This window comes from Homo sapiens, chromosome 7, assembly GCF_000001405.40.
Source record: "Homo sapiens chromosome 7, GRCh38.p14 Primary Assembly".
In the NCBI taxonomy this organism is placed as follows: domain Eukaryota; kingdom Metazoa; phylum Chordata; class Mammalia; order Primates; family Hominidae; genus Homo; species Homo sapiens.
The window spans coordinates 96,114,029-96,136,249 of NC_000007.14; the positions used below are offsets into that span (position 1 = coordinate 96,114,029).

The 22,221-nt window shown below is 39.0% G+C and overlaps 1 protein-coding gene and 1 pseudogene across 6 annotated transcripts in view; both read right to left on the reverse strand.

Annotated features, from left to right (window-relative positions):
* Positions 6,192-22,221, reverse strand: part of SLC25A13 (solute carrier family 25 member 13) — a 201,879-nt gene continuing 185,849 nt past the window's right edge. For all 6 annotated transcript variants that reach the window (NR_027662.2, NM_014251.3, NM_001160210.2 and 3 more), the window contains 4 exons: positions 17,715-17,853; positions 7,811-7,969; positions 7,627-7,717; positions 6,192-7,349 (listed from right to left, as the gene is read on the reverse strand). Coding sequence is in view for 5 of the 6 variants with exons in the window: in NM_014251.3 (NP_055066.1) it covers positions 7,163-7,349; positions 7,627-7,717; positions 7,811-7,969; positions 17,715-17,853 (576 nt within the window). In the remaining variant the exon portion in view is untranslated. The remainder of the gene's footprint in view (positions 7,350-7,626; positions 7,718-7,810; positions 7,970-17,714; positions 17,854-22,221) is intronic.
* On the reverse strand, positions 13,799-14,034 carry CYCSP18 (CYCS pseudogene 18; annotated as a pseudogene).

The following is a 22,221-nucleotide window of genomic DNA, read 5'->3' on the forward strand; positions in this document are numbered from 1 at the left end:
TAACTTATGCCAAATGCCATTATCATTTTTAATAATTTAGCCAGATATGTGTAGTATCAGAAAGCTTAGTCATTAAAACCAAATAAAGACACTTTCTAAATTGAATAAAAGGAAAGAATGACATGCTTAATTTCAAGTACCAAAGAGACAGAATAGTCAGTGATATGGTTTGGCTGTGTCCCCACCCAAATCTCATCTTGAATTGTAGCTCCCATAATCCCCGTGGGTTGTGGGAGGGAGCCAGCGGGAAGTAACTGAATCATGGGGGCGGGTTTTCCTATGCTATTCTCGAGGCAGTGAATAAGTCTCACGAGATCTGATGGTTTTATATAGGGCAGTTCCCCTGCATGCACTCTCTTGCCTGCCTCCATGTAAGACGTGCCTTTGCTCCTCCTTTGCCTTCTGTCATGAGGAACTGTGAGTCCATGAAACCTCTTTTTCTTTATAATTACCCAGTCTCAGGTATTTCTTCATAGCTGTATGAAAATGGACTAATACAGTTGGTTTCTCTACGTGCACTCTCACATGGGCAAACTGTTTTAAAAAAAAAATAATAATCACCTACTTTATAAGTAGCGGTCAAAGGGTAAGTCGAAATTTCAGGTTAAGTATGACCTGCTTCTTTGATTAGGAAGAATGAGGTACATGTACTGCATAGTGGGGAGGAAAAAGGCTGAGACTGAAAATCTAGAGAAATCTCCACTTTTCATAGCAAAAAAGAAAAAAATATTCAATAAACAGTGGCTTCACTTCTGTCTTCAGAAGAAAAACAAATGCCTGCTTCAATTTTCTTTATCCCCACTTTTTAATTTTTCTGATTTTACTGTAACAGGTAAGCCTTTTTATAGCAGTGGAGCTAGCCCGAATGAAGAGTTTATTATAAAAAATAGCCTCTTACATTAAGCAGCTAATTATCAGGAGACATACATTTTCAAATTGATAAAGCATGTCTTACTACTTAGAATTTATGTAAGTAAATTCTGCTTCAAAACAGAAATTCACATTCTGAAATATACTACTCTTTTGAGAATAGAGGAAGAATTTTACATTTTAATGTTTTTATTTTTATTTTGCCCAGGAAGAATATGCTGTGAATATTTGGTGCGGGTCTTTCAGTTATCTTTTCTCCTTCATGTAATAGGGTCAGAGAGCTGCCAAAATGCAGTGGTAGGTATCCTCTCCTTTCACTTTAGGGGTAGCAGAAAACTTGGGAATACAGTAAGACTTGTCCACCATTAGTGGTGATGGGGATTTCATGTCCAAAAGTAATTCCAGCAAATCCCACATTCTGTAAACTGTCTCCATTCCCTCCAGACACACTTTGAGGCCAAGTACCCATAGATATTTACTTTTAACTTGGTTTTCCATTATTTCCAACTTTTGTTGAGCAACGGCATTTTCTAATTATAGAAGAGATTTTTAAGATGGTCCAATTCAGTTTGCATCATATCATGTTACACTGTAACAGTTTGTAAATTTACCTCCACTTTTTCCACATTACCTTCCAATTTTACACCCGTGGGGCAAATGCTTCAAGTTTACCTTAATCCTTTCTTTACTGACTTTAATAGACTGTAAAATAGTTTTAAGAGGAATCTCAAAAGGCTTGTCAGGCTTCACCTGGTCCTCAGGCCCTGGAATTCTTTGAGGTAGCAAATGCACTTACTATGGTAAGTAAACAGAGACCACCCTTCCCTTCTACTCTAAGCTAGAATGATACATCTGATACTGAGAATAGAGACAGTAAGAAATCCTGGGCAAAGACTATCATAAGAATTTTTGATATAGTTTGTTGAGAAACCTTCGAGGGAGGACAGAATGCCATGAGACTTGGACTCAAATCTGAACTCCATCACTTGCTAGCTCAGAGACTGTGGGCAAGAAGATGAACCCGTCTTGGTTTCCTCATTTGTAACACAGGGAAAAGAACAGTACCTACCTTGAGGGTGATAAAGACGATTACCTTAGACATCATGCCTGGCACATAATAGCTCATATTTAATGAGTCCTTATTGGCCACAGAAATCTGGGATTGAATTATGTGCTCCTTTCTCATTTGAATGCTGCCCAGTAAGAGACCAGGGCAAGAGCTGGGATAAGTAGCTAGGGATGGTGGAGGAGAATGACAGAAGATAACAAATAATGTTTTCAGTTCTTTTCATCAAGCTGTATTTCCCTTTCCCCATCTTATAGAATAGACTGTAGCACATTTGCACTAGTCTGTTCTGGGATCTTGAGTTCACTTTAAAATCACTTAAAGAAATGCTCCACTGCAAAATGGAGCATCCTCTGAAGGGCCGAAGCCCTGTCCAAAGCAGCGGTAGGCACTGGAGCCTTAGTGGCCAGACCAGTGTGCTGGGGGTGTGTCTGTGACCCAGGAGAAGTGAGGCTCAGAAAAGCACAATTACTGCGTCTTCTTAATTTTCCTTCTAAAGTTATTCGACGGGACTGTGGTTTTGCTTTGAGCAAAACCCGCTTAACGGCTGGGAATCTAAAAGCAAACAACATTATTTTATTAGGTTACCCTAGCAGATGAAAGCAGAGTGTTCCATTTGGACTCTTTTTGGAGTCAATTAATGCATTAGCTAAAAACAAACCCTTTTAAAAGAGAGTTCCTGTTGTCTTCAGCAGCTTCGAAGGGAAAGCTTCAGAAACAAGAGAGGTGAGCTGTAAACAAGTAATACATTCATTGATAAGAACAACTATTGTACTAATACATTTCAACTCGTGTTAGAATGTAAAACTCATCTCAGAGGATGATTTTTTTAAAGTTTTATTTTTAACCAAGACCAGGGAATTTAAATTTATCATATAGTTTATGTGACAATGCCTGACTCAACTAAAGTCAATTTTAAATAGCTTTAGTTGTTTTAATAAAATATTTATTTATGACTTGTAAAGTAAGTGATCAGTACATAAAACTGTGATTGTTTTCAGTTATGGTTTTAACTCCAGCAATAGAAAAGGCCTATAAAGTAGGACAATAATGGAGATCACTCATTTGGGAAAAAAATACGAATAGTTTATTTCCACCCTCACAAACTCATGTGCCTCTGACCATTATGCAAGGCACCATGAAATTAAATACTTATGTCAGAATATATTTGTCTTCCATGATTCAAGATAAAGTGAATTTTAAAAGCAAATGGGTGCCAATGATGGGGAGATGAGGGGAATAGGGCAGGCAGCAACAGGGTAACATGCATTTTTCAAGAGTGTTTCTCAAAAATTCATCCATTCATCCATCCTTCAAAATAATAACTAGGAGCCTCTACTAAGAGAATCAGAGACACAATCCCAACCATCATGGATCCCGATCTGGACTTTCAAGCTGAAGACTGCCACTGTTTTAAGAGACGGAGGTGGCCGGGCGCAGTGGCTCACACCTGTAATCCCAGCACTTTGGGAGGGTGAGCCAGGCGGATCACCTGAGGTCGGGAATTCGAGATCAGCCTGGCCAACATGGAAAAACTCTGTCTCTACTTAAAATACAAATAATGAGTCGAGTGTGGTGGCATATGCTTGTAATCCCAGCTACTTGGGAGGCTGAGGCAGGAGAATCGCATGAACCTGGGAAGTGGAGGTTGAAGTGAGCCGAGATTGCACCACTGCACTCCAGCCTGGGCAACAAGAGCAAAACTCCATCTCAAAAAAAAAAAAAAAAAAAAAAAAAAAAAAAAAAAAAAAAAAAAAAGGCAGAGGTGACAATGCTGTTAGATGCCTCAGACATTAAAATGAAGCAATGAACTCCCCATGGTCTTCCTAACATAACAGAACTCTTTGGTGAAGGTTATTCCCCAAAGGTAAAACAAAAGGCACACACTCCTTTGTGGGCAGTACCATTTGTGGAAAGAACATTTCACTGCTCTGACCAGGGAACGTGTCTCTTAAAAATCTTTGGAAAAATCCACATCCTGAAAGCATTTGATTACCCTGATTTGAAAATGGGATTTTGCTCAGTGGCAAGGATACAAATTCATCCCCACAAGTATGCCTTCTGCGGTAAAAGGCACATGATGACTTTTAGGGACAGTTTATTTGGAAGGTTGATAAATGGGGCCATAAGACAGGACTCATCAAATTTCTTTTTTGAGATCTCCCTCTACCTGAAGCATTCCAGCATGACTTGCATTCTGAATACCTAGTTGGAGGAGGTTACAAACAGTTTCAAGCGCCATTTGTTCCCGTTTTGATTCCCCACTCGCTGGGTTATGTGCTGTTAGACATTTCCAGAAGACTGTCAAAATGTAAGCATCCTGAGGTTTACATAGGCCACGCCATTAAATAACATATAAGCACAACATTTTAAACATTGTTTTCCAGCAATGGTAAATATTTTAGCTAAGTAGAAACTAAAGCTTGAAATGCAATAAGCACTTAAATGACTCCTTTCTGTGCCAGAATTCTTATTTTCCTCTGTGCGACCCTGGCTTCTGGGATTAAGGCAACCCCAGGGAGCTCAGCAAATGGTTGTGGGTTACGAGGTGTAGCAGGAGCTTGGCGACAGCATGCCACCCAGCCTCAAGAAACCCAGCCATGACTGGAACCCAAGAATCAGTGTGTTCACTTTGTGGTCAGCTTCACATTTTTCCCCTCCTTGAAAAAAAAAAAAAGCTGCTATGAAAATCAGACCTCTCTCCCAACCCCCAAGGAATCACGTGGTGGACCAGGAGCAGAGTGGAGACTCGGGGCAGGCAGAGCAGAGGAGGCTGGCCCCCTCACGTAGGCAGGCAAGCAGGCAGGCATGTGGGAGTTACCAGCTTCAGTTCCTCAGCCCTACAGAGGGAAACGACCCACGGCACCAACAACAGCCACACCACTGACGACGACAACGGATTGTGCTGTCACCAGAAAGAAGGGAAACCCAGAGCGAATTTTACAGTGGTTTTCACCACACGGTGATTGCAGTCCTGTTCAGGGCATGTCACAGTAACACCACCCACTGAGCAGAACCCAGAGGGAAATTAGGCCTCCTTCAAAGTCTCCCATTACTGCCTATCCCTGAACAGAATAAGGCAAGGATTTTAAGGACACACAGACATGTGGCCCTACCTCCATTGGCTTCCTGGGGCCCCTGGCTTCTTATTCACTAAAGAGAATTGTTCTCAGTGACTGACAAGGCTAAATGAAGACAGGGTGCTCTCTCATTAAATGCAACTGCTCTTTAAGAGGCAGGCAGGGCCATGGACAAGTTATGAGATTTTTGGTCAGTGTTTTTACCAAGAAAACTTGATCTGCCATAAAATCTCAAACAAGTGAAGAAAAGGAATGCAGAGATGCAGGGCCTTTTCTCCACATTCAAAAGACCAAAGTTGGCATGTTTTGTTCTAACACCAACCACATTTCTAACACATATTTGGAGTTCTGTGACTAGTCTCTGAGATTATAATACAGATATTTATCACTTATCACACTGAATTTGGGGAGGGGATTCCCCTTTGGTTTTGTCAAATAATCACAGAAGGAGCCATGTATGTTATCTGTCCTGTTTCTAGTGAAGAAGACAAAGCTCTTCACTCCCCTCCTGACCCTCCCCCTCTAAAAAATCAGCCATTTATGGCGGGTATTGACTCTTGCCAATTTTAAACTGTAACTTCAAATGTCAGCCTGTTGACTTACAGAAACAGACTGACAAATGGCTGTCTGCTATGGAGAAAAACTTTGGAAACTCAAAATGTTCATACAGACTGCCAACAGATTAATTAGTAGCCTCTTTGGAAGCATGATCACGGTCTAAGAATAGCCTTAAATCCTGTTCAAGACTAGCTTCTTTCCCCAAATCATTATAGTGCTAGCCAAATAATAGCAAATGTTAGATACAGTGGTATATGGTTTTGGTGTGTGCAAGAGTCAGACTGGATTAGAAAATACGACTGCCATTTCATACCAGTTTTCATGGCTAAGTTCTACTAAAACTATGTGACCTTCATCATCACAATAAACTGCCGAAAGTGCTGGAATGACTAGAACTAAGGTGTCAGTTTGCTAGTTCTTTGCTTATCTATGGTTAAATACAGTTTCTTGTACTCACTTTGAACCATGAAAATGAGGGAACACATTACCTTGAAAGATACTGAGGATATATCCATGCCAATATGAATAAAATTCCCCTCAAAACAAAACATGTAGGCCAATAATGACAATTACTGTATCCACTCACCATGCAACATGCACAAGACCAAACAACTCAATCACTTTACAAATAGTTTATTTCCACCTTCACAAATTCATGCGCCTCTGACCATTATGCAAGGCAACATGAATTAAATACTTATGTCAGAACATATTTGTCTTACATTATTCAAGATAAAGTGGATTTTAAAAGCAAGTGGGTACCAATGATGGGGAGATGAGGAGAATAGGGCAGGCAGCAACAGGGCAACATGCATTTTTCAAGAGTGTTTATTAAAATAGGCAGTAATCAGTACATGTACATCATATGAGCAGTTTTTCAAAATTAGCACTTCCAGGAGAGGGGCTACATCTCAGTTTTTTCTGTCTGTACAGTAAAATGCCAAAAGTACTTCCCTAAAGTACAAAGGCATTTCCCTAGTAGTCTTGGTACCAGTAACAATATGATTACTAAACATCTCCAATGTGGTTTTCATTACAAAGAAACATGTTTCACATAAAAGCTTCATAATATAATCCAGAGACAGAATTTGTGCATGCTTACAATTTGAAGCCAGGCTGAATATATTTGATATATATTTTTTCATTTCTCCCAGTGTTTTTTATTTTTATAAATATGCACCTAGTTTCCTACCAGTTTAAAACACACACGAAACACTGCTCTGAGCACCATGATTGCCTTACAGTAGCCTCTTTGGGACTACAATCCTAGTTCAAGGAGGGGAGTACTAATTTCTATTCTGACTTGCTCCTTTCCCCAAATCATGTTAGTGTTGACCAAATCCCATCAATTTTCAGATGCAAACAAAGGTTTCTGGGCAGAGGGCCAAATAATAATTATGAATAATTTCACAATGATCTGGTTAAGAAAACACCCAGAAAATGAATGATTTCACATGATAAAAAAGCCTGGACTTGAATTTAAACAAGAGATGGACGTAAAAGGGATGAAGCATTGCTTCATTCCCAGGAGGGATGTTCTTTACTGCAGTACCCACAAAAAGACAGCACTATCCCAGGGCTGATCTTCCTATGGGCCTCCACCAATAGCCTTTGAGGTAGATACTGATGGCTTGAAGAGAGGTAGGTAAAGTCCAAATTTGTTTTCAATCCCTGCAAATGTAGCAACTGCCAGTTTGTAGCCCCCAACGTGATCAGGATTCGGGGCAGGCAGGTTGATCCTGGATTTAGGAACTGGCTCTGATCCCATGGGTTTTCTAAAAGAAGAGAAAACAGAGTAAGAAGCTGTATTTTTTGTTTGTTTTAACTTGATAAAAATAACATTCAAAACCTGTTCAAATATTTAATGTAAAGGAGTTGATACATTCTCATCAGTTGTATGTTCCCCTTGGAAATGACCTTGTTAACACAATTTCAACATTTCCCTAAATCTCTTCTATTTTATTATAGAGACTAGACTGAGGTACCTTTCCCTACGACAACAGAGCATTAGCAGCAGCCAAAATTTAGCAGCAGATTTAGCATGATACTTACACTCCTCCAAAATCAATGTAGAACCATCGCTGTAGCAATTCGTAAGTCAGCAAAGTTACACCAAACTGGGGTGAGGATCGAAATACACGAGCTTTAAAAAAATGGAGAAATCACAGATATAATTAGATATTTTAAAAATTTACCTGATACCAAAGAGTTAGTTAAGAACACATTATTTCCATACCACCAGCTCCCTTCCACAGAGCTTTTGGTCCTTCTTCACGCAGTATCTTTCTAAAGCAGTCTATCACTCCGCTGTAAGTGGTTTGGCCAGCCCGGGCAGCCACCTGTAATCTCGTCTTGATAACATCAGCAGGGGTCACTAAAGATGCTGCAGGCATACCTGCAGGAGAGACACAACACCATCTCAGTCTGGTCACATTCTCACTATATAAAAATAACTGTGCTTTGAACTGCTGGCCGTGGAAAGAAAGTTAAAAATCCGATTCAATAAAATGCCTATTTTGCTGTCCTCTATGGGAAATGCAACCATGCCTCTCCTGTGTGCAAGATGTCTGCTCCTACACCCCTCCCCACCAGACTCACACCTTCCCTTGCCCAAATCACTCAGCCTTCATTTCCTTTGTTTCTATTCCTAAATCTTTAAATATTTTTAAGAAATTGTTTATCAATAACACTACTTCAAGTGGTTGAGAATAAGTGGAGAAAGCGGTTTTCTTTTCTTTTTCTTTCCTGTTGAAATCAAAAACTTGCGAAGTTATTAGGTCCGATTTTTCAGAGGTGAAGCTTGTTATGCGTTTCCTCTTCATGGTCTTCTGTGGCTGCTGGCAGTCACAGGAGGTGCTTTCTCTCACACATTCAACCACCCCCTACTCTCCAAACCCCAACCTCTCCAGTTACACCAGAAAAAGACTTTACTGATATCTAAAAAACACTATGTGTGTTGGGGGGTGGGAGGTGGAGGTTTCGGGGAGGGGGTGAAATTGGGAGAAGGAGACTCCTACAGATAACACTTTAGGATTTCTTTTCCCTAAGACTGACATCTCCAGAAAAATATTTGACAGAAAGCTTAAAATTTATACTGGCTGATAATCAATGAAAAAGGAACAACAACAACAACAGAAAACCCTCCCAAAGTTACCAATGGGAAATTTTTCTACAGTCACTGTATCCAAAATAGGGCAGTGCATGTTTAGATTTTTTAAAAGCGAGACTGTACTCAGAAGACACTGTCTCTTATGGTTTTATTACTTTTCCATTATGAACTTATTCCAAACCAAATTGGTCAAATGCAGATGCATAAATCTCCTTTGCTTTTTTTAAGGCTTAATAATTCTGTAAGAATTTCTGTCCAAACCAACATGGTCTGGCTCACAACTACATTTCATCCTTCTAACAGACAGCTTTAAAGTTACAGTGAGTTGGAAGGGGGGTGTAAATCTGCATACTACACGCTTCCATTTATATTACTGAAGGAGTATCTCTTCCATCTTTACCTAGCTCCTCAAACATTAATCTCAAGAGGTTTTATAAAATACATCACAATTCTGCATGCAAAAAGCTCACTTTATATCCAGTGCTTCACTGGATAAGTCATACTGAAATTCCTGTTCATTTGTAGGAATTATTTTAACTTTGGGCCAGGAATTTATCCTCCAACATAATGGAAGGAAACAAGAAAAATGCTTAGAAACCCACTGTGTTCACACCACCGATTTTGTTTTACTTCCTGGTTTAGAAAGAGTTTAGCAAGACAGCCTGCTTTAGACATGCAATAAAAGCCGCCTTGCAATGGTGGGCAGGCATGTCAGACTGTGACTGTGAAAGACATACAAGCAATAAAATGGGCAAAAAGTTCCCTTTGGCTAGGGTAATTTTCATAAACTCTTCTTTGTTATGAAAATAGAGGTACTGGGGGTGAAGGAAGCAGGTATGAAAGACACCTAGTAAGTTGCCTGGCAAAACTGATAGGAGTTGTGGCGAATGCTAGAATATGGCAACTTGAACATAACTCCCATCATCTCCATTGTCAGCTCCAGTTTCTCCTAGGCAGGTATCTGGTAAGGCCTAAAAGGAATTTTGGACATCTTGGTGGACAGGAGATTTCCAGTGTGAGGATTTGCTAAGTTAACCTGGAGAACTGCACCAGGCTGCCCTAAAGCAAGGCTGGGAAAGCAGCAGATACTGGCAAGAACTTGGCCACCAGAGAGCTGTTGATTTTGGGGGCCAGGGTTGGCAGGGACGTCTGGTAGATCTGCCTGCTCTCTTCTGGATTCCAAAAGGCTAAGCCAATGCTGATCAAGTGGTCTGAATTTTCTCTATTCCTAAAGACAGGGGAGCAAGAGGAGACTGGGAAACAGAGATGCTTCCTCTAGGTCCCTCAGCAGGAAAGGGACTGGCAGGCTGCCTGATTCTTCAATGACAAGACAAACACAGAGACCCAGGGGCCATCCACCACCTCTGTGACAGGAGTAACTTGGGGCATGTCTCAACCAATTAAAAAATTACAAGTCTTCAAAGGGGGCCCAGCTAGAGTAGAATATAATTTACAACAAAAAGAAAACATGACTGGCAAAATACAGCTTTAGGGCACAAGTCATCGTTAATTTTTATAAATATCCCATTTATATTTATAAGGAAAGTGCTTTTCTTTTTATTGAATACAAAGGTTAATATCTATTTATTTTGGATCAAGGCTGTTTTCCAAATCCCCTTTGCATCTCTATCTATATTATCTACTTAATACGTCAGCTTCTAAAAGCAGTGTGATAAAGTTTTTCATCAGGTATGAGAAAATATCGCATTTTCTTCATACTTTGAAGCTGAGAGATGACATTATACATTGATATTACATAGAAATTGATGGCGTCTTCATAGTGAATTTTATCTTTTATAAAATATGCCTGTGTGCTTCTGAACGCTATTTAAAACCTTGAATTCCATTCAGTATGGCATTAATATTGCTACTTGCTTATTGTTGATATTTGCCTGGTACATATTTTTCAATCAGCTGTCTTTCAATCTTTCTATGTCACTGTTTTATGAAACTTCATATGACTAGATTTTCTTTCAAAACTCATCTTAAAGTGTTTGTTATTACTAGGGGTACTGAATTCATTTACAGTGCTTGTGACTACTAGACTTATTTCTGCCATCCTATATTATGCTATTTTCTCTGCTTCCAGTTATTTCCCTTTTGATCCCCACCACTTCCCTGACTAAATATATTTAAACGTTACATGCATTTGTTATATAGGTGTACATTTACAACAGGTGCAATTAATTAGCATTTGCATCCTCCAGCAAGGGGAGGACTTTGGCGCACTGGCACTTTTGTCCTTCCTTTCATTTGTCAGTCTCCCAAAAACCAACCATTCTTGCATGAATACATATACCAAAGTCAGCAATAATGGAGACCTACCACAGGTTTAACTTCTATTTGCTGTTTCATATATCCTACATTTTCCTCCTTCTTAATTCACTTTTTTTTTTTGAGACTGAGTTTTGCTCTTGATGCCCAGGCTGGGGCTGCGCACGATCTTGGCTCACTGCAACCTCCGCCTCCCAGGCTCAAGTGATTCTCCTGCCTCAGCCTCCTGAGTAGCTGGGATTACAGGTGTGCACCAGCACGCCCGGCTATTTTTTGTATTTTTAGTAGTAGAGACAGGGTTTCACCATGTTGACCAGGCTGGTCTCGAACTCCTGACCTCAGGTAATCCGCCCACCTTGGCCTCCCAAAGTGCTGGAATTACAGGCATGAGCTACTGTGCTGGGCCCTTAAATTCACTTTTTAATTGCTTCAGAGAAGGTCTGTGGGGAAGAAAGCTTTGAGTCCTTGCATGTGAAAAACTAACTTTAGTTTTGCCTTCCCCCTCCTGAGTGTTAGTGTGCCCAGGAACATAATTACGACTCAAGACATCCTTTCCTTGGGATTTTGAAAGTATCCAGTATTACAGATAAGAAGATGAGAAGTCAATCTTCTATTGATTCATTTTCTATTCTCCTTTTCCTTATTACTTTTCCCTAGGGAACTCCTATGAAACAGATGTTAGATTTCCAAGATTAATTCTACCTGTATCTTAAATTTTCTCTCCTTTTCTATCTCTATATTATTGCTACACATTACATTCTAGAGGGGTTTTTTTTTTTTTGCATGTCTTTATTTTCCACATGTCTAAATTTGGTCTTTGATCATATCCATTATATCATTCAGAACTAACGCTTGATATTTAATTATGGCAGTTCTTCTATTACTTTTCAAGAAAGCTTCTTTACTGATTATTTCTTTCAAATCTCTCTGAGGACTCTAATTAATTATATTAATTAATTATAGTTCTTAAAAGTTGTCTTCTGTCCCCTGAATTGCCTGTTTTCTCTCTAATTCTTCTGTTCACTTACTTTGTTGCTCCTTCATGGCTGGGGATCTCTGGTTGTCTATTGATATTATTCAAGTTCAAAGGATAGGCTGATTAGTATTATATACAAATGTTGTGGGTGACTTCTACCATATTCTAGGTATGCTTCACCCACAGGTCTCTCTCCTGAATGGGAGGGTCTATGGGCTTTGTGTAACTGGGTGCAAGGGGTTAGGATATGCTGGCAGGGTGTGGACCCTCCGAACTGCTGAAATGTAGGGAACTTCACTTTGGGGGTAGAAGAATTTATTTTAAATCCTTAATTCTTCTTGGGAAAAGCTGCCATCACTTTATTTTTTCCTGCATCTGTGGTAGAAGTCTTGAATTACCTTAAGTCCTGCCCTACTTTCTGTCCATTCCTTACACTTATCCTCTCTAGGGAAGTGGTCTCTTTCTTTAAAATTGAGCTCTGAGCTTTTAACTTGGATACAACTGTCTCCTGAAGCTCCATATGAAAACCAGGAGAGAGCTCCAAGCCTGGCAATCCTGAAGAAAGTATAGTTGCCTAACTCATGTTAATGATTTACCCTAAAACCTCCACCTCCACCCCAGGCATTCTATTCTTCACTCAAAGGTTAACATTCTCCAGTTCAGCCCTTGCATTAGAGGTAGTTTCTCCTGCTGTGTTTTGGACTGGGGCATCTCTCAGTCCAGTTTCAGAGTCAATATGGCTATTTCCTTTCTGCTGAGGGCCAGATTAGCATTTTCTAGTGCCAATAAAGAATTTTTTAAAAATGCATTTCCTGACATTTTAAGGTATTTGGGAAGACAGGAGAGATGGATGAATATGCTCAGTCTATTGTCTTGATTCAATTTCTTCATTACTTTTTTTAAGGGTTTAAGGACTGGTTTTAAACTATTATAACTTAAGCTTTATGTCCACATAATTAACAAATTTGTACCAACAGTAGTTTTCTCATAATACACAATCTAATGTTTGCAAAAGCATCATGATCACACATGTATAACACACTTCCACTTCTGTGTACTGGAACAGCTTTTAAAGGTATTTCTGTATTACAACTTAATCTCAAGCTAATTAATTCAAAGGTGAGACCATCATTACAGTTTGACTTGTTCCTCTATCTTATCACTCTGATAAAAATCATCTGGTATGATAGAGCATTCTATAAAATTTGAGTATTAGATATATTTTATTTGATATCATTCACAAGGTGTATTGAAATGCCCTTCATTAATGATAAAGCACCATGTTAATTATAGATAATTAGAATTTGATTTCTTAATTTCAGGACCCCCGCTTCGGTCTTCACTTTCTGACAAAGCTGATGTACTTTGGCCAATGAACATGAATTCAAATATTGGTTAGTCTTGTTCTATCTTGTGAAATAACGGAGTAGATGTTCCAGTATTTAAATATAGTCCCAGTTTATAACTAGATACATGAACAAAACAAAAACAAAAACACCAAAACCCAACATTCTCTAGGTGAGGATACCAATAACCACTTTTGCTAAAAAGCTACATATTACTAAAACAATCTAACCTCAAGGCTAATCAAATTTTTGGAAAGAAAACAGTGAGATAACATTACTGAATAATTGAAATTATTATCTAAACATAGAAAGCGTGGTCATATTCATTTAATCACAGGTCCATATTATTTATAATAGGCTGATGTTCAGCAAAAAATATTTTATGTATAAGTGATCAATTTAAATATGGTACATATAAAAATAGCCATGAGACATTTTTGTTTTATAAGTTAGAGGCCAACAATTATTCATTGTAGTTGCCTGAAACTCCATCTAAAAAGGAGGATTTTTGTATTTTGAAAGAAGCTTTTCTCCTATTAAATACTTTCTGGGATTCTCTGAATACCATGTATCCTCTCCCTAAGAAATGCCTTTGCTCTTCTTGGCAACCACAAAGGGAATGTGGGGGCCTGATCCGTCCTCCACCCAACAGCCCATTCAGGATTAGTGCACATTTGTGCTTGCTCACTGCCCTTCTTGGGGTTGCACGGGGCACACTTCTGACAAAAGTCTTGCCCTTCTCCACACTGAACTCAGCTCTGCCTGAGCATCTCAGCAAGGTTCCACACTCAGCCCTGCTCACCCCATGACATCACTCCTGCTCACTGGATATAGATTTTTTATGTTTATTTTATAACAAAATGCATTACTAATCTTTTTTCCTAATTCTAATATACTTCTTAGACATTTTAATTTTGATTTTCAGGTAAATAATCATTTATAAATAATGACTGCTTCCTTTCTTCTTTTATTTATGCCTTTTACTTTATTTTACCATGCTGACTGGAACCTCCAAAATATGGCTGAATAACAAAGATGAGAGAGACATCCTTGTCTTATTCCTAACTTTAATTGGAATGGTAACTATGACATTGACCACTGGCTTCTGATATCTGTTATTAAATTAAGAAAGTAGCTTACTTCGCATTACACAGTTTTTATAGTTTTGTAGAATACACAAAGACCATCAAGCTTTGTAGCTTATTCACTCTTTGAAGACTAAAATCAACAGGGCAAACTCGGTATTTTCCCATTTTACCAGAAACGGGGGATCAGGAGGAAGGTGGATAATAATAGGAAAGTCAATGCTCTTTAGGACAAATACCTAATGCATGCGGGGCTTAAAACCTAGATGATGGCTTGATGGGTGCAGCAAACCACCATGGCACTTGTATAACTATGTAACAAACCTGCGCATTCTGCACATGTATCCCAGAACTTAAAGTATAATAATAATAATAATAATAATAATAATAATAATAATAATAATAAAAGTCAATGCTCTATAGTAAGTGAGGCAGCCAGTTCCCAAAATGGCCCTCAAAGATCTGCACCCTTGTGACATTCACGCCTCTGCTTCTCTATCATCTTGAGGTGAAGTCATAGAAGACACTGCAGCTTCTGCCTTGCTTGCTCTCTCTCTCTCTCTCTCTCTCTCTCTCTCTCTCTCTCTCTCAGACTTTGCTCTGGGGAATCTACTGCCATGTTGTGAGGGTATCCAAGTTGACCAATGGAGAGGCCCACATGACAAGGAACTGAGGCCTCCTGTCAACAGCTATGTCATTGAGCCATCTTGAAAGTGGCTTCTCCAATGTCAGTCAAGCCTGGCTGCTACTGTGACTGCAACTTCATGATAGACCTGGTGCCAGAGGCACCCAGTGAGCTGCTTCTACCCCACACCTGTTTCCTGACTCACAGAAACTGTGAGAAAATAAATATTAGTTGTGTTAAGCTGATTAAGTTTTGAGGGAATTTGGCATGCAGTAATAGATAACAAATACAGAAGGCATTTATAAAGACAACAGGATGGCAAGAGGGCTGAACTAACATCACCACAGGGATGCCAACTACTTAAAACTCTCAAGAATAATGGGTCAATGACCGAAAAACAACCATGCTTTTTACCAACAAACTCACTTCAGATAATCTATTTCTCTTAAAAAAAAATAACTGATTCAACATAGGGGAAAAAGCATACTACTAGCTATTTAAAATTTTTTGGAAAAAATTAAAGTATCTAAAATTGAGAAATACATAAGATGCAGCAATTAGAAACTATGTTCGGAAAGTTTTAAATAATATGTAATAAAATTACTATTATGGAACATTTTTGAATACTTACTATATATCAGGCACTATTTTAATCTTTTCATCTATTAATTCACTTAATTCTCATAATAATCTTGTAAGGTAAGACTATTCTTATCTCCAAATACAGATGGAGAAATGGCAGAGAGGGAATGAATAATGTGTGTGGTTCACACAGGGTGGAAACACTGGAATTTGAACATTGGTAGTCTGACCCCACAGGCACATGTCATTAACTACTTTGCCATGATGGGTAACAATGCTTAAGACACAACCTTAAGTGAAAACTATCTATACAAAGTGTGATTACAGCTCTGTGAAAAACCTGAATAGGAAAAATGAGTAAAAATGTTAAATAGCAATTATCTTAGAGTAGTGAAATAATGAATAATATTTTTGTTATTTGCCTGTTCTAGTACTTTTCAAATATTTTATAATGAGTAATATTAGTTTCAAAATCATTTAAAAAAGGAGAAAAATAAACCTTAAATGAAAAAAAATCTCACCAGTCATTTCTATAGCTCTGGTAGAATGGATTACCTCCACAGAGACAGAATCGTTTCTGGGTACCTGTCTTCTCCAAGAAAAGAGTTAAAGATGGTATTTTTATGGTGTGAGGAAAGTGAGGCTTAGGAAAGAGTCCTAGACCTTGATCTGAGCTCTACTACTTAACTTCTAATTTCACAACTTATTTTTTGGAGTGATTTACAGACAGATTCTTTTGGATTCAATGTAATACTTGGCTAATGTTTATTGAGCATTTACTGTATGCTAAGAACTATGCCAAGTCTTTCACATGGATCCTCTCATTTGAGCCTCACACACACTCTGTAGCAGGTGCAGTTGTGATCTCCATTTATAGCTGAGGAAACCAAAGCTTACAAGAAGTGAAGTAACTTGCCCAAGGTCACACATTAATAAGTGGTACTCAGTTATTCTCATTAGGTCCTACCTTATTTCAAGTAAATAATTTGAAATAAATTATAACCCTTTGGTTCAAAACATTTTCTCATTTACAGATATATGAGAAATTACATATAGGCCACCATGAGTCAAGCTGGAATTAAAATTGGGAATTTTATACTCAACTCCTGAAATCATGATCTCTTGCTCTAGATACAGTGGTATCACTGCTGCTAATACAACTGAGGTTTCTAAGCAGCCAGGAAACAGTAGCCCTGCCTTATATACCAATATCACTGCCTTTGAAGGAAAAGGATTAACTAAGAATTAAGGAGGAGCTACACAGGTTCCTGCATCCAGGGGTTCCCCAGGCTGCAGCCAGGGTAGGTGGGGTGTGCACAAAACAGCAAACAACTTCTCAAAGCTGGGAGTTGTTCTTATGCTATCTTTGAGAAAAGCATGGAGACTCTAGTTACATATCTGATGAGAATAGCACAGGTATCAAAAATGTTTGGATCCAGGCATCCTGTGACCGCCTTAGGGTTTGTTAACTTATTAAATGTCACCACTTGGAGAGCTAATCCAGACTGTTCCTGCTCTTAGGGACCCTTGAAAAGAAGCAGCATCAAAAAATGAACTGATCCCTGGCATGGTTAATTATTTTCTATCGATGTTTTCAATGGAGCACTGAAAAAAAGAAGATAGTTATTTCCATCTGTGATTTAATTACCACCATCCCCCCGTAACACAGGGAGGAAACAGGTGTCTCTAATTGGCCCAGGTCTTTTCTGGTTCTACTACATTTCTTTTCTCTAACTATTGTTTAAGTTCTGGACAGGCTTTTATGCACTATTTTTTTTAGACATCTTTAAGACAAACCTATTCAAATCTTTAAAAACTTCCAGCTAAACAGTTATTCTTATGCTGTGAAGTGAGACTATGAAATGATATGGAACTTGAATTGGAGTTCCACAATACCACAAAATAAGCCAATATTTAATGAGCCTTTTCTAGAGTTAAGAAATTAAGCTTGTCTAATAATCTCATCTGCCAGAATGAAGATTAATTTTTTCCCTTTTTTTTCAGTAGCTCTTCAATCTCTAGCAAACTCACACATACCCTGTCAAGAACTATCAGCAAAAAAATTTCAATGTAGTAGCATGCAGCTAGGGAAGGGGGGCAGCAAGGGTCAGGGAAGTAAGAGAACTCCATGGGGGACACTCACCAGCTATGGCACCAGCTAAGAGCAGGCTTCCTGGGCTAACCTGCCCATCTTCATTTGCAAAGGAAGCCTTCACATGAGCATAGCACGGAAAGTAGATGGCCGAGAAAGGAATGTCCCGCAGAAAGCATGCTTTGGCACCCTGCACATTTGCAAAGGAAGAAAAACCACATGAAACACATATCCCATTGAGGAGATCAAGCTTCTCTGGAACTCACCTCAGAACAAAATATTCCTGGAGAAGACCAAATTTGTACTCACACATTGAAAGGGGAACAGAAAAAAATAACCCAAATTCTGCAAGTAATAAATCTAAACTTTGTTTTTAAAACAAAAACTAGTTTTGTTGTGTGCTGTGATGGGAGGAGGGCAGTTCTCATTTATTCTAATGCTAAGACTTCAATTAAAACCTTTTTGGAACTCTGCCTGTGACATCCTTTTAAATCCCTACTGGTGGCAAGCCACTGGCATTTCAAGGAAGATCTGTTCTCTGGTCTCACCAAAGACGGGTAACGGCAGTCAAGATGCCTCTTTGTTTACACACTAGGAAGTAGACAAATTATACAGGTGGGGGGAAAAGGGGTTTGCTTTTTGTACGTTTGGACTGTTTCCCAGAAAGAAATTACACATACATAAAAAATTATATCTTTTCAGGGGGTTCATGGATCCTTCTAATTTTATTATATACTTACTTACCTGCCACCCAGGGTTTATGAAACATTGATAAATGCCTGCTCTAAAGCCTGAAATATTCACAATAATTCGGATACATTTTAAAGCTGTGTGTAGAACAATCAGTTCCTACAGCAAAGTCTTCAACAAATAGTTTCTGTTGCCAACATAATGCCATGCAGAGGCCCCGCGAATTGATGAGTGCCCAGAAATATGATATATTATGATGAAAACCACAACACATATATTGTGTTTTGGGTAGGGTGAATAGGAAGGAAATCATCACTTTTCAACATGTAATGATTTAATACCATTTCTTTAACAGATTTCTAATAACTAAAAATTTCCACCAAATACAGAGATTCCCAAAAGAAAATAATGAATCCAGCCAGAGTCAACAGATCTAGCCACACCCAGTGACACTTATTGAGGCCTAGTAATGCTGGATCTTGGGTATTTCTGTCTGATGCTCCAAACTGTCAAAGTTATTTAACACTATGTATCTGTTACTATAGCCTTTGTTTTCCTGACACGCACATTTCACTCCTGACTCAAACTGAGCTTGTGGGTAATAAAACCCTTAGTCTTTTTCATATGAATTACTATTAACTCAAGTCTACTATAACTTAATTAGTTGCCTCACACAAGTAACACAGGCAGGACATCAGATTTAATCCTATTAAGTTGCATCCTAGTTTGGCTCATCCTGCCAACCAGAACAAATGCTTGGAATCTGGATTCTGTCATGTTGGCTCTTCCTCAGTCAACTTACCCATGGATGTGTAAGCATGCCTCTGTTCACTCTGTGTATACAGGTATTCAGAGAAGCACTCATCTACCTCATGTACTGCCAACCGGCTCAGGCTTCTGTATCTTGTCCACCCCCAAAGTGTTAGATGTCTAATTAAGAATCACAATATCCACCACACCCAAGCTAGTCATTTTAGGCACGTACAAACTAACGTCCTGGACAGGTAATCTATCGTCCTGGATGGGTAATCTATCAATTGTGCATTTACCGAGGGCTATGCCCTTGGCTTGTTCAGAGGGCACCCTGGAGGTAGTTCCAGAGACAAGTCCAAAACTCAATACTCTAAGAGTTTTTTCCACTTCTCCCAGCTCTTTCAAAGGGAAAACATACAGTATAATGTTAATAACTGTGTGTAACATCCAATCCTTTTCTTACAACTAGTTTTTTAAAAAGTTATAATTCGGGCTGTTATTGTATAAGGCTAACAATATCAGCGTTTAGTTTCTGTTTTTCCTTCCTTTTCCCTTTTTGCCCCAAGCCTTCTTGTAAGTGCTGCTAGCTATTCATCCACATGTAGATTCAGTCCAGAAGATACTCAAATTAGACATCAAATAATCAACTCAAATGAAGATCACTTTAATCCCAGCTACTCGGGAGACTGAGGCAGAAGAATCGCTTGAACCCGGAGGTGGAGGTTGTAGTGAGCTGAGATCATGCCACTGCATTCCAGCCAGGGCAACAGAGTAAGACTCCATCTTAATAAAAAACATAAATAAATAAAAAATAAAAATTAAAAAACATTATTTCTTGGAAAAACATATCAGAAACTAAAACCAAGCTTTTAGCTTTTCTTTCATTTGTTGTTTTTTTTTTTTGATATGGAGTTTCACTTTGTTGCCCAGGTTGCCCAGGCTGGAATGCAGTGGCATGATCTCAGCTCACTGCAACCTCCACCTCCCGGGTTCACGATTCTGTTACTTCAGCCTCCTGGCCTCCTGAGTAGCTGGGACTACAGGTGCCTGCCACCACGCCCAGCTAGTTTTTTGTATTTTTAGTAGAGACGGGGTTTCACCACGTTGGGCAGGCTGGTCTCCAACTCCTGATCTCAGGTGATCCACCCACCTTGGCCTCCCAAAGTGCTGGGATTACAGGCATTGAGCCACTGCGCCTGGCCACTTTTAGCTTTTCAAACAAAGACATATTATTTGTTGGGAATGTAACAAAACGTAGGAGGAAACAGTCACTAATTTTGTATTGAAACATTAAAGTTTAAAAAAAGGGGGCGAGGGGAGAAAGAGAAGCAGATTAACCTGTCTTATGCTATGTGGCTTCAGTATGATCAGAAGGCCATGGGAAGACATGACTCGAAATTATAAACATCCCTGAGGCACAGGAAGAGTAAAGGCACATGAAGAATCAGTTGGGTCTTCTGAAGAAGGACCCACTGAGTGTTCCACCTTCTGAGAACCTCCTTCTTCTTCCTTTCCTGAAATCATGACAGTAAATCATGTATCCCTGTTACAATGGCATCTACAAGAGATGTGAGATGTACTTCAAGAGATGCTGGAAAACAACTCTACATGGCTGAGATGAGAAATGGCTTGATTAAAAACCAAACATACAAACAATTTTATATATATATATATATATAACCCTGAGGAAAGGGTAGAATTGCAACACTAAAGGAAAAATGCCTAGAAATGGGTTGTATTTCGTTTTCCAGGAATCAAGCAATGTGGTCAAAGTGTTTATGCAGACTAGAACAAATGTTAGGATATGCAAGAAGTCTTTGGTGTCTGATTACCTGAGAAAAAGGAAGAAATGGAAAAGTCAAGGAAGCAAAAGAACTTCCACCTGGTGTGATCATCCTGTCACCCCTAGCCATGTGATGAGCACCTGTAGAAATCAAGCTCTTAAGCTTCCTCACCTGTCAAAAATACCAAAGGCCATCTTCTTCAGGTGACTGGGACAACTGAAACTTTAGGAATGAATGAAGTAATATGTGTGAAAGTCCTTGTAAGGTATCCACTGCATTACAAACATTAAAGGACACAAATGTGTTCACCTGAGGGCTGTGTCTCCCTGCCTCTCCTAGCACCTTCTCTGGTGTCTCCCTGCAGAAAATACCTCTCCCAGTTGCGTCAGGAGGCGGCCCTTCACCTCTCTTGCACCCCAGGCATCAAAGCCCAATTCCCAAGGAAAGACAGAGACTTATTAAATTTCCCTGGCCTCTTTTTCCCCACCACTTCCTTTAGGTCTTAGGCATAAAGGCAGGTGCCAATTTGTAAGACTGCCTTAGGCAATACCTGACCTGTTGCTCTTGCACAATGAAAAGGGAAGCAGGATGTTAAAAAGACTTAAAGTTCTAAGGGGGAAAATGTTTCTCTCCCAGATTCCTTGATAAATCCTTCACTTTGTGGTGAACACCCATTCTCCAGTACTACAGCAAAACATAAACCTGTTTGACTTGAATTCTACTTGTTCCATGTATAATTTTTACCAAGAGATCAGCCATTCTGAAAAGGCAACTTTATAACAAAGGGAAACATTCCATGCTGCCCTAGAGCCTGCATCAGCAACACAAAAATATTACTTTGGCCATTTGAGAATTAATAAGTTACAAAGGTGTGCCACTTAAAAAAAAATATTTAAACATTCCTGCCATATAAGAAAATCCCCACATTTTCCTGCTTTGGTTTTTTTTTTTTTTTTTTTTAAACTGGTTTTCTAGGCAGCTCTGCCCTTAAACATTCTCTGATTGGTCCTGAATTTCCTCAGTATATACTATAATCAGTTGGGGAAAATTAATAAATGCAAAATACAATCATCTAATCTCTCTAAAGATGATAAACTATTGGGTTTTTCTTTTTAAATAAAAGGCACACTAATATCCAGACAGGGACAACAAAAATCATCTCAGGGTAGACCTACGTTATAAACTGGGAAAAAACCCTCAGATCTAGTTTAATTATCAACTCTGCCTCCATTCCAATTCTATATCATGCCAAAGTCTCTCCATCATCATCCTATTTAAGATCTAGAAAAGCTTCTTTAAGGGTAGGCCTCACTTAACTTCAAATTAATAGT